Source organism: Homo sapiens, chromosome 18 (assembly GCF_000001405.40).
Source record: "Homo sapiens chromosome 18, GRCh38.p14 Primary Assembly".
Classification (NCBI taxonomy): domain Eukaryota; kingdom Metazoa; phylum Chordata; class Mammalia; order Primates; family Hominidae; genus Homo; species Homo sapiens.
Window position 1 is genome coordinate 55,433,799 of NC_000018.10, and position 17,357 is coordinate 55,451,155.

The 17,357-nt window shown below is 39.7% G+C and overlaps 1 protein-coding gene across 34 annotated transcripts in view, besides 1 other annotated feature; it reads right to left on the bottom strand.

The window, feature by feature from the left end:
- The window catches only part of TCF4 (transcription factor 4), a 413,773-nt gene that overhangs the window by 211,614 nt on the left and 184,802 nt on the right, over positions 1–17,357 (bottom strand). The gene's annotated exons all lie outside the window — the stretch shown is intronic.
- Positions 5,050–5,827: an enhancer, noted in NCBI's record as "OCT4-NANOG-H3K27ac-H3K4me1 hESC enhancer chr18:53106079-53106856 (GRCh37/hg19 assembly coordinates)". NCBI's record gives its function as "activates a minimal SCP1, AML or CMV promoter by ChIP-STARR-seq in naive H9 embryonic stem cells {active_cell/tissue: H9 hESC(naive)}" and the evidence as "EXISTENCE:reporter gene assay evidence [ECO:0000049][PMID:30033119]".

Below are 17,357 nucleotides of genomic sequence, written 5' to 3' on the forward strand. Positions count from 1 at the left end.
AAGCAAGCCTCCTTGGTTTTATGAGCTCTTCTCTCTGCACCTTTCTCCCTGCTTGTGTCCCTTATGTGCCCAATCATCCATGCGCACGACACTGACAGAGCCATTTCCTCTTCAGCTGTTACCCTTGAGTAGTTTTCCAGTCCTTTGTAGGCTAACACTTTAAGGCATAATTCCTACCCACTTGCAACTTTTATTCTAAAGGAAATAAAACAAATCAGCCTAAGATTGCCAGAGTAAAACAATTTTTTCAAATGCTTGTCATACACAAAATAGTCTCATTCAATGGTCTTAATGTATAGGGCAAATAAACGAAAGCAAATCTTCTCTATTCACTATGCTCAACTACATTTCTCCTTTTGCTTCTATGCACTGACTTCTAGTATCCTCTGCTCTTTATTAATTCTGCCAAAAAAAGTGTTCATTGTAATAAAAACTCCTTATTTACAATAATTCATCTTGAGTGACAAGCAAATGTCTACTTCAATCACTATGTAGAATTTTTTTGTTTGCTGGCTGCATGATAAAATCTTGAGATGTTTCTGTTATTGTGATATTGTTCAAAACTTCAAGGAAGAATTCTGGTTCTGGTAATGTGTTTTCAAACAGCAATACAGGACATTCTTTTTTTTTTTTTTTTTTGAGATGGAGTCTCGCTGTGTTGCCGAGGCTAGAGTGCAGTGGCGCGATCTCGGCTCACTGCAAGCTCCGCCTCCCAGGTTCACGCCATTCTCCTGCCTCAGCCTCCCAAGTAGCTGGGACTACAGGCACCCGCCACCACGCCCGGCTAATTTTTTTTTTTTTTGTATTTTTAGTAGAGACGGGGTTTCACCCTGTTAGCCAGGATGGTCTCAGTCTCCTGACCTCATGATCTGCCCGCCTTGGCCTCCCAAAGTGCTGGGATTACAGGCGTGAGCCACCGTGCCCGGCCAGGAATACAGGACATTCTGATCACCTCTCAAGTATTCGTGTGTGTGTGTGTGTGTGTGTGTGTGTGTGTGTATTTTAATTTTTGTAGGTACATAGTGGGTATATATGAGGTATATGAGATATTTTCATATAGGCTTATAATGTGTAATAATCATATATGGGTAAATGGAGTACCCATCAACTCAAGCATTTATCCTTTATGTTACAAACAATACAATTATACTCTTCCAGTTATTTTTAAATGTACTATTAAATTATTATTGATTATAATCACCCTGTTGTGCCATCAAATACTAGATCTTATTCATTCTTCCAACTCTTTTTTGGTAGCCATTAAGGTCAAGTATTCTTATTTAACAAATAAACCTTCTACTCTTAAGTTCTACTCTGGTGAACTTGAAATACTGATTGCACTAAACTGTAGCACCTTCTCTCAAATGTGGTTTGCTTGCTTGCTTAGCCCAATGCCTGATGCAATGTGAGTGAGCAATAAATATAAATGATAGGTAACCTTCAACTTTACCTGTAAATATGTTGAGTTAAGAATAAGTCTATCTGTAGTTATCAGCTGAGGACTGGAAATGATTGCAAACTTATTTTTATTAAATAGTCTTAGATTTGGCTCCATGATATTGGCAAATGCTGAGTCTGTAACCATTTGGACTACACATACTTCTGACCCATTTTCAAAACCACTAGTGCCATGTTTACTGTTTGTCTCTTCCCCATTTGAATAAAATCTCCACAAGGGCAGGCATTATTTTCTGCCTTGTTTCCTGAAGCCAAGTACCTGACACATAGTGCTGAGTATGTATTTGCAGAATGAATGATAAACACTGAAACATGGCTTGTACAGCCCTTCATGAGCTGGCTCTCATGTTCATGTAGAGCCTACTCCTCATACCCTTCCTCTTCCAGTGATGGGAAGGAGAAATGCACAGTCCTCTCTCTACTTGTAGCCTTCTTTAGATCTGGCTGCCATGACTCAAACACGCCTCCATCCATTCCCATGCCAGCTCCCTCTGGCTGGCTGTTTTCCTGATCACTCAGATCTGAACTTAAATGTCAACTACCCTGAGTTTCTCTGTGCTATGTCCCTCCCTGTAAGGAGCTCCCACAGGACCCTATATTTCTCTTGGCCTGTTCACTACATCCTGTGTCTTACAGCAGACAAAAAGCAACTCCAAGTATGTGGTGATAAAGGGTGTATCTCCAACACCAAGCTGTGCAAGTATGTGACACAAGTCTGATGCTCAATAAGCATCTGAGGAATAGACTTAATGAATGACTCAATACTATCTATGAAAGAATCATAAGAAGCACCTACCTACATCCAGAAAAACTGATAGTAATCACTACATGATACAAGTCAAATAAGCTTACAAACAACATAACTTAAAATCCAATTATGCAATATGTTTTGAGTCTTTCCAAAAGTTATGGGTATTCTTGAACCATTAATAGTGAGATATGCCTTCAAATAAACCACCAATCAAGATTCTGTGATTAGAAAAAAGTTCCTGGGTAAAGAAATGGTTATTAACATCCAGAGAAATAATTTTATATGATTAATAATTTAACTACTTTATTCATTAAAATAAAACAGCTTTAATTCCCCGTAAAGGTTACATTTTCAACTTCCCCAAAATTCTCAATAAAAGCAGGTTTTAATAATTTCAATGGTAAAATGGTATTCTATGATGTAAGAAAACAAGTAAATAAAATTTCTAAATTCCATACATTTTCTTTCTGTTTGGGCCACATATTACAAGACACAGAGGAGACATTAACCAATTTTCTCTCTGCATCTTAATTTTCTTAAATATACAGAATTCAACAGAAGCACAAAAGAAGCAAAATGAAAGATATATGAAATCTAAGAGGTGAAGGTCTACCACCACAGTCAAAATGTTAGCCGGGGACCTCATAGGAGCCTATGAAATTGCAGTGCTGAGCAGCCTGAGGTCAGGTCTGTATCCAGAATGTGAACAAAACATTACCTGTATGTGAAAAACCCACACAGACAAAAACAGTTTTATTATTCCAAAGGTCACTGGACATACAACTAAATATCTTTATTATCCACGTCACTATTTTACAGACTGAACAGCAACAACAACAACAACAAAACTCATAAAATCAAACAACTTGGAGTTTGTATTTCTTTTACAGAACAGACAGCCTTAAAAAGTCTTTGACTGCACAAAATAAGTCCTAGAAGATAGCAGAGATAATATTAGAAAGTGTAACAAAATCACCCAAGTCCCTGAGAAAAACATTCATGCCTACAACCAATATTGAAGCTAATTTCTTAGCATCCTTAGCTATTTCCCTAACCATTTTGCATAAGGCAAAGATTCCCACTTCACTGTTGCTTGGTCTTAGCTACACATTACAAAAAATAATGAATGGGGGTTCTTTTCGAAATATTTATAATGCTGACTTCCCTCTAATTTGGCTTGCCTTTTTTCTAAATTGGTAAAAATCTGCTAACCCTTTTTCCTTTAATACAAGAAAAATCACACCTACCACATACGTATGATGTTGAATTGTGAATCTACAGCAATGAAGGTTTCATTCACAACATTATTATAGAAGCAAATCTTTAGGGCCAGTAGATTAAATCTATCAATTTGATGAACAATTAAAATATAAAAGAGGGATAATTTCAGCCCATTCTCTCTCTCAATGGAAATATGCACGATTTTAACATATTAGAAGTTATCCATTTTCTTTGATCTAAAAATTATTAATTTTTTGCACACAAATATCTTAGTGGTAAATAATTAGGTGCTAAGTAGGTGATGATTCACTTTTCCTGAGTGAAAAAGGATTTAAAAATAAGTATTGAGTTCAAGAAAAAATAACAATTTTGAAAACAAAATTGACAATTTTTTGAAGCAATGTGTAGGTCAGAAATTCCTGTTTAAATAACAGAAGCCTAGATCCCAGCCCAGGCCTCTAAACACAGAATCTCACAGACGGAGCCCAGGCATCTGCAGTGTATGAATGGGCCACATGTTACTCAGATGCACAGCAAGGTTGAAGAACTGCAAAGTGCAATCTTATTTCTCATGGGGTTCAGGAGTCCTGGGCAGACATCTCAAGAATGTCACTCATCAGATATATGTCAGATATATAAGGCATCAGGAAATGGTAGACTATAGTGAAATTCAAAGTAAATATAGGTTTAGGCCAGGCACAGCGGCTCACGCCTCTAATCCCAGCACTTTCGGAGGCCAAGGTGGGCGGATCACTTGAGGTCAGGAGTTTGAGACCAGCCTGGCCAACATGGTGAAACCCCATCTCTACTAAAAATACAAAAATTAACTGGGTGTGGTGGTGCATGCCTGTAATCCCAGCTACTCAGGAGGCTGAGACAGGAGAATTGCTTGAACCTGGGAGGTGGAGGTTGCAGTGAGCAGAGATCATACCACTGCACTCCAGCCTGAGTGACGGAGTGAGACTTCGTCTCAAAAAAAAAAAAAAAAAAAGTAAATGTAGGCTAAGATTGACCACAGCTGCTTCCTAGAGGCCTCTGCTCAGCCCCTCACTCTCTCCTCTCATTAGTCACTCAGCCATTGAGGTGGGGTTGGTATTGCTATGATTATAGTTGTCTCGCACATGTTAGTACCCCCTCAATAAGATGGCAAACTCACCCAGGGCAGGGACCAAGTCTGACAGTCCCCAGAAGAGTGATCTATTCCCAGAAAAAAAGCCAACCAAACTGCAACTCACTCTACATAAAGAAACGCAAATGTGAAAAAAGAAAGTGATGTAGCTCAATGGACCCTTCTCCATTGGATGAAGTCTAACAGCTTTCAGAGACACCTGAACATGGAACATTACATATGAGAATCAAGGGACCACGGGAGTCTGTTTCAACTAAAAGACACCACCTGCAGTCCTGGTAGGAAAGGTAGCACTGGAGATTAATTTTACCAGAAGACTTTTGGCCATGGGAACAAGGACTACAGGACAAAACTGTGTACTGGATGAAAGTTTCTTCAGCCCTCTCCTACACACTCAGAAGCAGCTTCTCTGAAACATTCCATACTCCAGTCCCACACAGCTGTTACAGTAGTATCTGAAGGTGAGAAGAAGGGACCGAAGTGAAGCTCCCTCCTCATAACAGTGTTTGCATTAATGAGTATCTTAAAGTATTCTTTGAACACTAAGCAAAGACAGATTAATGCTGAGAACAGAAATTGAAAGGTGTTTTTAGTAAGCCCAGTTTTGCTGAGCCCTAAAATTGACAGAGGCCAAGAGAAGGGAGTGGGTGGTTCAAATAGAGATGGGAGTTATCAGCCTGGGATGGAGGTGTGTGCACCAGGGCGGGGCAGTGGTTGAAAGGCAGGGGGTGGGAAAATGAAGAAAGGAAAAAGTACTTTTGAAAGTATAGCCTCTTGCTCAGGGCAAAAACTTCATGAATTCCAAAACAGTAGGAGGTTGAGGGGTTTGCAAATTCCTTCGTGGCCACTGGTGGGGAGCAACAAACAAGGAGTTTTGTTTGCAGCACAGGGGATGGAGGAGAGCTTGGGAAGAGAGGGATCCACATCTGAGGATAAGGGCAAAAAGCAGGCACCACGCTGAGGACAGCACAGCACACTGAGCCAGCAACAAAGGAGGCTGCCCCTCTCCAGACCTTTGCCCATCAAGTAGCTGGTTAAAAGCAAGACCAGGGATGATGAACACACTGAAATCAATGCCTGGAAAGAGGTGGGGTTGCTTATATGAGTGAGGAAGAAGTGACTTCAAAAACCCTCAGAAAGTATCTAGCTTTTCCATCCCAGTAGTCCAGGATCTAGCGCACTCCCTGGCACTAAGAAGCATCCATCCAGTAAATACTGGCCCAATCAAGGACTCAGTGATCACCTAGGACACAAAAATCATCCTTAATAAGCACAGTAAACATTCAACGCTGGGCATAATGGGTAACTCGAAAAGAACTTAGCAGGAAAGATGTCTTGGTTATTCAAGGCCACTTAAACGATCATTTTTCTTTTTTCTTTTTTGAGACGGAGTCTCACTCTGTCACCGAGGCAAGAGTATAACGGCATGATCTCAGCTCACTGCAACCGCCGCCTCCTGGGTTCAATCAGTTCTCCTGCCTCAGCCTCCCGACTAGCTGGGACTACAGGCACGTGCCACCACGCCTGGCTAATTTTTTGTATTTTTAGTAGACACGGGGTTTCACCATGTTGGCCAGGTTGGTCTCGAACTCCTGGCTTCAAATGATCTGCCCTCCTCGGCCTCCCAAAGAGCTGAGATTACAGGCCTGTTAGCCTGATAGCTGGAAATTTCTTACTGTGTGTCTATTCTTACACAGCATAACTTTGGGGTGTCTGTTTATTGGATTTATGTCTGAATACGCATGCCTGTTTCCACTCTGGGTGGTGAGCCACCACGCCCAGCCACAATCATTTTTCTTTAAGTATTCTATCTTACTTCCTTTAAGGACAAGTTTCAAAAGGGCTAGTCTAACAAATTAACTAGATAAAAACACACACACATGAAAATATTTCCAGCCTTTCTAAGTGATGCGGGTATGTTTTTCCTCTTCTTGTTAGCTTCTTTGTTCTCACTTCTTGAAGATTTTTAGGTGACTACCGCTAAGCTTTGGGGTTTTTGGGGTTTTATTCATTTTCTTCTTCTCACCCCTTGATCACCTGTTTTAGCAGGATCCTGATTTCTTTTGTATTTCTTCATTCTCCCCTGGGAAATTTGTGTCTGTGTCTGACATCTGTCCCCAACCACCTCCTCCTTTGTGAACACTGGGGTGAAAATTTCATTTATTTTTTAGCAGTGTCTCCATCGTCCGTCAATACATTACCCTTTCTCTGTCTTCCAGGCTTGACAAACCACTTTTCAGGCCCCTTCTTCAGGTACTTTGAGAAACAGCTCATTATTATTTATCATGATCTCATCGGTAATCTTTCTTCTTTTTGGCACTCTTAATTTGGGGATGTTTTCTGATATTCTCAACATCTTCCTGTAATCATGCCAGTCTCCTCTATAACACTTGATGTCAACTGTGCCTCTTTCTTCGTAAGTAATTGCTCTGTGCTCTCCAGTTTTCCATCCTGTTAGCCTGATAGCTGGAAATTTCTTACTGTGTGTCTATTCTTACACAGCATAACTTTGGGGTGTCTGTTTATTGGATTTATGTCTGAATACGCATGCCTGTTTCCATTCTGGGTGCTTTTTCCTTCACTACTTGCTCCTTTCCCCCTTCCCCCCTTATTCTTCTTTATAAGGTCTAACCATCAAGGCCAACTTTTACATTTTGTTTTGAGGGATAAAAAGGCTGTGGTTCTGCCTACACATGGCCTGCATTTCTCAGTGTTTGAATTAATGGCTCAGATAATATTTGCTATGAAAAGCATCATTTGATGACCAAATCCAGTGCAACAATCCATTAGGTCCCAACTCATATGTGTGCTCCAAATTTGCATAACCAAATCAAGCTTCCTTGCTCTTTCTTTCTCTTCTCTTGTTTGACCACAGACTTGCTGAAGCTTCTAGCTGGATTATCACATGCTCTTAAAATACTCTCCCATTCTCCACTTCCAATCATATCCTTTGTTTCAGATAAAACTTAATCAACAGGGGTTTTATGTAAGTTTCCATTTGTACATAATGATAAATAGTTTAAGCTATATTCAGTACATTCACGATCACTATTTTTCTTTCTTTAACATACGCAGATAAATCACATTCTATCCACCCTATTATTTCCCATGATTATGTCCATGTTCTGGCAGTCTTTACTATCTGAGAGACAGAATTTAACTCCTTTCCCACTACAATTTTTGTAACCTTTAATTATTAACCAATATTAGCTTTTCTCAAATTTAAACAATACAAAATAGAACAGCTTGAGCTAGATGGTAGATACCACCCAGTAAATTTGTTATTTTCATTATAATGAATAAAAATAGTAAAATAAGTACTACTACATATTATATATAAAGTAACATATGTATTACATAATCGTATAATAAGTAAGATACAGAAGGATTTTGCTCCTTCAATGTGGATTAGACTAAGGGTGCTACAAAGCAATATTGAGTAATATAGTCACAAATCAGTGGAAACTCTTCAGCAGGCCACAGCATAGTGTGCATTTGTGTGCTGCCCTATTCTCCAAAAAGAACGTTGTCATACCCATTTTAAATAAATGGGAAGTCAACTGAAACTGACTTCTCTAGGATCACTAAGAAATCGCGGTGATCCAGTCCCATGCGCTAATTGGTAATGCTTTTAAGCACATTTCACTGGATTTTCTTATAGCACTAATGTTTCTCCACTGACACAACTTAGCAGGCAATGTATTTACAGAACTATAATAGCCTGAAAAGAATTAACAATGAACAATGTGCAAAATAGTCCATTACAAGCTTACACTTTAAACAAGCACTTACAATGAAGATTAAAAAAACAAAAAACAAACAAACAAAAAAACTATCTTGGCTATTGGGTCATTTTCCAGGCTACTAACTGCTAAACCATGTGCAGAATGTGCTTCCAATTTAACCATCCAGATTTTCTAAAAAGGCAGATAGCTTTGCTCTGCAGGCAGAATCAAGTTGGTCTTCAATTTGATTTTTAAAACAAAGCAGTTCTACAGAAAACCACTAAGCTTTTGCTACAAATGATCAGAAAAAGAATGAAAAGGGGAAGTAGGTTTTATTTTAAAGACCCCAATTTGTCCATCCATGTAAATGAAAAATATAACTTTATTTTATTTTCAAAAAGGGTGACAGAGAAATAAATTCTACAGCCCCATCAGTTTCTAAGGATTATTGGCCACAAGTCTCGGCTCTTCTGAGACATAGCATTGGCAATGGGTGCCAATGCAAAAAATAACACATAGGAAGTCAGGATGATTTTTAAAAGCTACAGAGAAAATCTGCAGTGCTTCCTAACTAATAAAGCACCTCTCAGGTCTTATAAATAATTGGATACAATGAAATCTGAGATCTCAGAATGCATAGCTTCCCTCTTCCGTCACACCGGATCAAAACCCATATACAAGGAAATGACCGGAACAGAAGCCAGGTGCATAGAAGAACTTTTGCATTTCCACAAACGTGCAAAGAACTTTATCACAGTACAGAATGAACACATGAAGCTCTGCACCCTTCTGCAGCTCTAGGTTGTAACCAGCCCAGAGTCTACAGAAATCCTACACACTGGTATAAATGAACCAAGATGGACTAGCTTTTTAAATATACCATTCGTACTTCTTGTGGGTGTGACCAAACAGAGGAAGCTGAAAATGGTTTGTCCAGTGGGAAGTCTGTAGCTGCAAAGTGTGCTGATGACCCTGCTGGCTTGTCACCATTGTGACGTTTACTATAAAAACAAGTCAGGTTCATCTAACCTTGGTTCGGGTCAACCTGGACCTTGTATGGGGTCCCATTGCTTGGTTTTAAAACAGGTTGTTGGATACTAATCTATGCCCTTCCTCTGAGTATGCCTAGCTGTCAGGTTACTGTCCAACAATGGAAACCTGTTCTTAAAACTCCCCTGTGAGCTCACACATCACCCTCCAGATAGCTTGTTTATCACAAGAATCATGTTCCTGAAAATTTGCCATGAGTCTAATTTTCATAGTCTAATATGGGCATTCCTTGGCAAGCGGTTTGTAAAGCAAACAGTTACCTCTCAATCTATCATTAGTGTTAACCCGAATTTTCACATAACCTTCAGCACCTGTATTGAGTAGCTGGCTCACTTTGGAATTTTCTGCCTTAAAATTAGGTGTAGGTAAAGAGACATATTTTCAGGTAATTTTAAGCTTTTGTTGTTGTTGTTCTTGTTTTAGTTCTTTTCTCAAGAGACCCAACAAGGTAGCCAGTTAACTATCAGTCAATGGCAAATTTAGTAATCATCATATCCTATCTATTGCCTGGTAAATTTGGGTTCATCACACAACTCAAAATCAAGAACCACATTTCCTTCTTCCATTCGTCACAGATGAACCACTTGCCTTAAACTTTCTCTCCAGAAAGAGATACTGAAAGTATTCCAGAAAGAATACTGAGAGAAAGGATCCACAATCACAAAAATAGCGCCATTAACTCCTTATATGCCCTACAATAGTAACAGGGAAAAATTACTGAGTGTTGATGATGTTCTGGGGATTCCTCTATGCATTATACATGCATTACCTCATTTACTTCACCCAACAATCCCAACAGATGGATTTTATAATATCTTCAACACAGAGATGAGGAAACTGTGACTCAGAGAAAGCAACTTAGATGTCACCCAGGTAGTAAAGGGTGGGCAGAGCCAGGATATAAATCCAAGAGTTTGCATTCCTAAGCATCACACCATCTCACTTCCTATATCAACAGAGTGAAAGGACAGAATTATTGCACATTTGCAGACCAAAACCAACATGAAGAAATCAGACGAGGATACGTATTAAGTCCCATTCTACACAAAGATGTGGAAGCCCTGGATGTAAAGCAATTAATGTTAAAAACACTTAATGATTTTAGTGGACCACAAGCTCCATTTTCAGTCAATGTTAAAATATGAATGTATACATGGAATCTTAGACTGCATTAACACTAAAAATGAGAGCAGATCCACTATTGATCAAACCAGATCTGGAATACTAGGGTAAGACTTGGATTCACCACTTGGAGGGAAAAAGAGATGAACTAGAACACAGCAGAGGATGGTGACCGGGAATACAAGGTGTGATTAAACCATGTTCTACAATGTGTTGAAAGTTTTCCAGTTGCGCTTTTGAAGGAAGCCAAGATTAGCATCCTTCAAAACATGTGGAAAGAGAGACAATACACAATACTAGTTAGCTTCAGAGGGAAAAATGAGTATTTCAGGCTGACAGCTACAGAATTGAGAACTTTCTAAAAGTTAGAGCTGTCACAATGCAACAAATTGCCTTGTTGGTGGTGGTTCATGTCTCTCTCTGGGGAACTTATCTACTCCCATGACTTCAACTATGAAATATTAATATTGTGTGCCAAATCTGCAATCCCAAACCCAGAATCACAAATCTGTCCACCCACAGACATGTCAAAAATTCATTATTTCCAAAACTGAACTGACCACCTTAATCCCCCATGACCTACTTCTCCTCATATATTCTACATCTTAACAAATGGCACTGCCAACCACCAAGTGGCCCAAGCCAGACACCAAGAAGCCAAGGACGACCCCTGCCTTGCCCATCAGTTACCAAGTCCAACCATTTCCATCATTTTAATATCACTCAAATCCATCCTCCTCTTCATCTTCATTGTTCCCAGTTCAGCTCAATCTCATCATTTCCTCTTGGAATTGCCTTAATCACCTCCTGAGTAATCTCCTTGCCCTCAAGTTGCCTCCTATTCACAGTTGCTTGAGTGTCCTAAATCATAAATCATATCATGGTATCTCACTATTTAAAATCAATCCTTGAGTAGTTTACCACACGCTTCATTGAAAATCTGACATCTTCCACTCCTAAACACAAGAGACCCTTCATTTCTCTGGGGCCAGGATTGTATTCCAGCTTCACCTGTGTATTAGAGCATTTTTATACTGCTATGAAGAAATACCGGAGATGGTACAATTTATAGATTTTAATTATAATTTATAAATAATTATAATTTATAAAGAAAAGGGGGTTTAATGAACTCATAGTTTCACATGGCTGGGGAAGCCTCACAATCATGGTGGAAGGCGAAGAAGAAGCAAAAGCACGTCCTACATGGTGGGAGGCAAGATAGCATGTGCAGGCGAACTGGCCTTTATAAAACCATCAGATCTCGTGAGATGTATTCACTATCACAAGAACAGCATGGGAAAAACCCACCCCCCATGATTCAATTGCCTCCCACCAGGTCCTTCCCACAATATGTGGGGATTATGAGAGCTACAATTCAAGATGAGATTTGGGTGGGACACAGCCAAGCCATATCAACCTGTCATCCCTTCCTCTGTGGTACTACATCTCATAGTCATCTCACAGAATGACTTCAGTTCCAGTATTCCTATTACGTCTTCCAGCTCCCAAGGCTCTGCTCAAGCATCTCTACCAACTGGTAATTTTCTTTCCATCAGGATAGTTCTAACCAACTCACCTTTAAGATGAAGCTCAGGCATTACCACGTATATTATTAAGAAAATTCATGTTGATCCATACAATAGCCATTCCTAACTCCCTCCTCCCTTGCCTGTCTCTTGAGTCAGAGACCCAACCATGGCTCTAAGAGTTCACATTCCAAGCTTCCCTTGCAGCTATGAGTAGATGTCTGCTAGAGGTTTAGCCAATAAGTTGTTAGCAGAATCCTGCTCAAGGCCACCAGATTCTGGTAATGTTTTTCCCCCTTCCTGGATGGAATAGGATATATGTAAGGATAAATGTTACCCTAACCTCTGCCTCCCCTGCCTCCTTTAGGGGACTCTAATGTGCTGTGTGAGGCTCAAGAGCCAGCTTGCAAGAAAGAAATGCAAGAGGAGAGGAAAAAGCTGAAGAATGAAAATCAGCATGCTAAGGAGGGCAGAATGGGAAGAAAGAAACATTGATTTGCTGAACTCACACAGGCAACCTCCTGCCTCCAGACACCTCCTAAAATGAAGGGGAAAAACCCCTTTGTTTTACTAACCTACCATTGTTATCAGGTATTCTATTAGTTGCAGCTGAACCCATGTTTAGCTGCTATTCCACCTCTGGGAATTCTTTCTAAATTCTCTACAAAGGAGGCAATGCAGTGGTGGGTAAGGACAAGGCTTTAGAGTTCAGCAGATCTTGCTTCAAATCTGGATTCTGCCACTTACCAGCTACACAACACTGGGCAAATAACCTAATCTCTCTGATTCTCAATTGCCTCCTTTGTAAAATGGTAATGACAATGTCTAACAAAGAAGTTTATTATAAGGAGCAAGCAGGATAATATGTGTAAAGTACTTAGCAAGTGCCTGGTACACAGTGAGTACCCAAAAATCTTAGCCAGGCCAGGCGCGGTGACTCACGCCTGTAATCCCAGTACTTTGGGAGGCCGAGGCAGGCGGATCACTAGGTCAGGAGATGGAGACCATCCTGGCTAACACGGTGAAACCCTGTCTCTACTAAAAACACACAAAAAATTAGCTGGGCGTGGTGGTAGATGCCTGTAGTCCCAGATACTCAGGAGGCTAAGGCAGGAGAATGGCGTGAACCCAGGAGGTGGAGCTAGCAGTGAGCGGAGATCGCGCCACTGCATGCTAGCCTGGGGACAGAGCGAGACTCTGTCTCAAAAAAAAAAAAAAAAGGAAAAAAAGAAAAAAAAATCTTAGCCAAGCTGGACACAGTGGCTCACACTTGTAATCTTTGGGAGGCTAAGGCAGGATGACTGCTTGAGGCTAGAGGTTCCAGAGTAGCCTGTGCAACAGAGCGAGACCTTGTCTCTACAAAAAATAAAAATAGAAAAAATTAGCCAGGTGTGGTGGCACGTGCCCACAGTCCCTGCCACCAGGAGGCCAAGGAGGGAAGATCTTAAGCCCAGAAGTTTGAAGCTGCAGTAAGCACCCCTGCACTCCAGCCTGAAGGACGGGGTGAGACCGTCTCAAAAAAAAAAAAAAAATTAGACATTATTATGAGGAAGCTGATGGTGGAGTATCCCTGATATGTATGCAACAACACCCTGGGAACACATGGATTATTTCCCCAACTCTCTGAATTGTAATTATCTGATATCTACCTGATTCTTTTATTAGGATGTGGGCCAAGTTGAAAGCAAGAAAAGTAGCATGCCACTATCTAGTACCTAACATAGGGCTTGCAGATCACCAGCTTCCCAAAAGTACTTGCTGGGTGAATGACTGTACGAACCAAAGACTCATTTGAGTATTGAAGTTTATCATTTTGGGCAGCTTCTAGAATAAATGGAATTTATATAAATGGCTTTAAAAAATACATATACTGAGGACCATATGATTGCAGACATATCGATAACATGTTAATTTTATTTATCAAGCAGCCAATGAAACTTTTAAAGCAGTAAGATAGTCTGCTTTGCTTTCACAAATATATCATTTGCCCTTTCCCTCACTGCTGTAAGGGAGCACTTCCTCTATGTCTGAAAATGAAGACAGCTAAGATATGAAGTGTAAAAACTGCTTATGATACAACCAAAGCCAAAAACTGAACTTGGGATCTATGTTTCATCTTCTCTACCCCTTCCAACGTAGCCACTAGAAAAGGCTTTCGCTCTGAATATTTACTTGTGATGAACTTATAAAATGAACAACCCTATTGTTTTGTGGGGGGATGATATGGGGGGGGAGGTGGCTTCTTTGACAAGTAAACTGTATCTGAATATTAGAATGCACTAAAATATTGTTTCTATGCAGTGTTTTGCCACCTACAGTCAAACCCATACAAAATACTATTGTCTAGGAACGCTCTCTAAATGTGACTGCTAAAATGTCACCTAATCACAGTGACCATGGAAAATAATATTTGTTATAAAAACCAGTCCTCCTTTCATCATAAAGGTTTTTCACGTGTAGTGGGAGCACTTTATTTTTCTACAGGCGGGAATATTCCCTCACAGTAAGGAAAGGTGATCTGCTCTGATAAAACTTTAACAGGTGCTGAAATTTATATATTCTATTACAGCCTTACAAGCCTACACCAATTATTAATTATCCGCCTAAATGTATACTACTTTACACATCCTGCTCTTTAACTAGAACACTCAGAAAATCCATTGTACGTTGCCTGACTAACGGACCATGTCTTGAACGGCTAAATGGCCTAGCAAATGCAAAGATTTTCCCATATGTACACTTTACAGTGTTAATGTAGACCCACTGCCTACACAAACCAACTGCATTTCCACAACCACATTCCACCTTGAGGAACACAGGTGACTTAGGGGAGGCATCTATCTGTGGACAATATCAGCAGATTAGAGTCAGTTTATAGAGCAGCTTCTCTAAAGTGCTTGCAAGCAACATTACCGTGTAGTTACTACAGTTGTAGAGATAGTGAGTACTCTCTCTTATTCTGCTCTGTGAATATTTCAAAGAAGTCACATAGAGGCTTTTTATGCCAGAGCAGGTGTGAACTCAATTCCACTCTTAAACTAGTATCAGCTCAGCTGAGAGAACAGCCGTAAATTTTTATTTCAGAACCAAATGAAACTCATGAGGGTAAGGGGCAAAATCTCATTAACTATTAAAATGTCTTGAAAAGACTGGGAGAAGGCAGCTTCTTTTATTCTCAATTGGTGTTCAAACTATACCTACGACTTTGCGAAAAATGGAAAATGTAATCACACAAAAGTATGTCTATTTAGAACTGTTTTATTTCAGGAGAAACAAAAAAATTCAGAGAGCTCTCCCACCCTCTCCTGGCCACATCTCCATGAGTTAGGTCAGTAACAGAAGCAAGGAAACTGAGATTAAAATGAAAAACAGCTTGTTCAAAATCACACAAAGATCATTTCGTAAACTATTGTGTACCAGGTTGGGTTTTTTTTTCCTGGTTTTTCTCTAGCTAACAGGGATCATCCACAGCTACTGAGGCGGTCTGCCAAGATATTTAAGATCTGTGCTCACTGCATCTCAATTTCCAAATAATATTTGTAAGACCATCAATAAATAAGGAAAAAAACTTAAGCATGAAAAAACATACACACCATATAAAGTATGAATTTAATCCTGTCAGTAGACCAATTGTTAAAGCTTTCAAAAACACGGATATTAGGCTCATTTCCAATTACTCTGAAAGTTCTGAAGGAGACAGGGTCACTAATAAATTTTCTTCCATGATTTGGTATTGCCCAATTAAGTGCAATCAGTTACACATAAAGAGTTTATGCTTATATTTGAAGCATTCAGATTTGGCTACTGAGCTGTTAAGAGTACAGCTTGGTCTGAATAGCCAAGGTGAGGAAAAGGCACGGCCAGTCAGTAACCTAGTAATTTCGAGACTCAGAAAGCCAAGCCAATGCTGATAATACAAAGCTAGAAAATCTTACTTTGTGATCTATCGCTCTAAAATTAGCTTTATATGTGTCTCCTTTTCTCTTATCCTTCAATTTTTCTGTCTCCCCCTTCTCCACCAAATGTTATCAGATATTACACACTTTCTATTTTCATTCAGCTTTAATATGGCCCACGAGGGGGTGGCATTTAATTAATCACTTCCACGTTCTGCCAGAATTCACTACATGATGCTCAAGTTAGCATATCACTTTTGCCAAGCTGATCGGACCCAATGAACAGAAAAACAGACTAGATAACATAATAGTAGGTGTAATAATAATTTGCATTAACTGAATTTTAGGGCCAGGTGGCTTTACGTTATTTCTTTTAAACACAGGGCAACTACTTAGATGAGAAATTTCATCACAGTGCTAAAGAAACTTGCCCAAGGTCACAGAACTGGAGAGTGGTGAGCTGGTGCTCACAGCAATGCCCAGCTGACCACAGTGCTCTGCTAGGTCCACCATCCACCACTTCCCCCATGTTAGTTCTCTTGTGGCATTTTCAACCTACGTGAAAGCTTTAAATGTTTTATCTTAAACATAAACAATATAACCAGCTGTATTTTATACTACTTTCAAATGATGCTTCCTTGCAATTTTTCCTATTAATAAATGTGTCAAGGAATTAAGGAGTGATTAATAAGCAATCATCAAGAAGATGAAAAATGTTCGAGCTGTGTCTATTAACCACTTAGAAATAAATTTAATTTAATCTCAACCTATGCTCCATATATTTTGCAATTGTTAGTTCCTAGGCCTCATATTCCGCAAAAGAAAAGAAAATGAGATCCACTGAACACCTCCTTTTACTCAAAACAAAACATGTTTCCTTCGGATTCAAAAACTCTTAAGAGTAAGGGGAATGAGAGAATAATCCAATACAGAGGCAACATTCTATACCAAGCGTCTGTGGAGTAAAGGGAATGAGAGAATAATCCCATATACAGAGGCAACATTCTATACCAAGCATCTGTGGAGAAGAAAGAAATGAAGTGGAATAGGACTGTCTCCAAAACATTCCCAAGAATATGGAAGGTATTTGTAAAACTATCTCCTTGATGAAAACCATGGTACCTTGTAGTGACTCCATTATTCAGATGACCTACAACACAGGCAAAGAAATCTGCATTTGTCAGTGGGTTCTCCCTAGTCTCACCACTCAAACACCACACCAGGGTGTTCTTGGCCTTGTGTTTAAAGATGAAACTTGAGAACATTTAAAATGGAGAGAAACATGGCTGTAGGCAAATATTTCACAAAAGGGAGCATCTGAATCCAACACAGCTGTCCCCAAAGAGGTACTTATTTTATAGGATTACTGTTTTGTGGACTGGCTAAAAAAGAAGCCTTTTCATTTTGGTCTTGATGTTTACAGAAGTGAACATTCTATACTACCTCCACCTGCTCCTGCCTTCTGTTCCAATCTCTTTA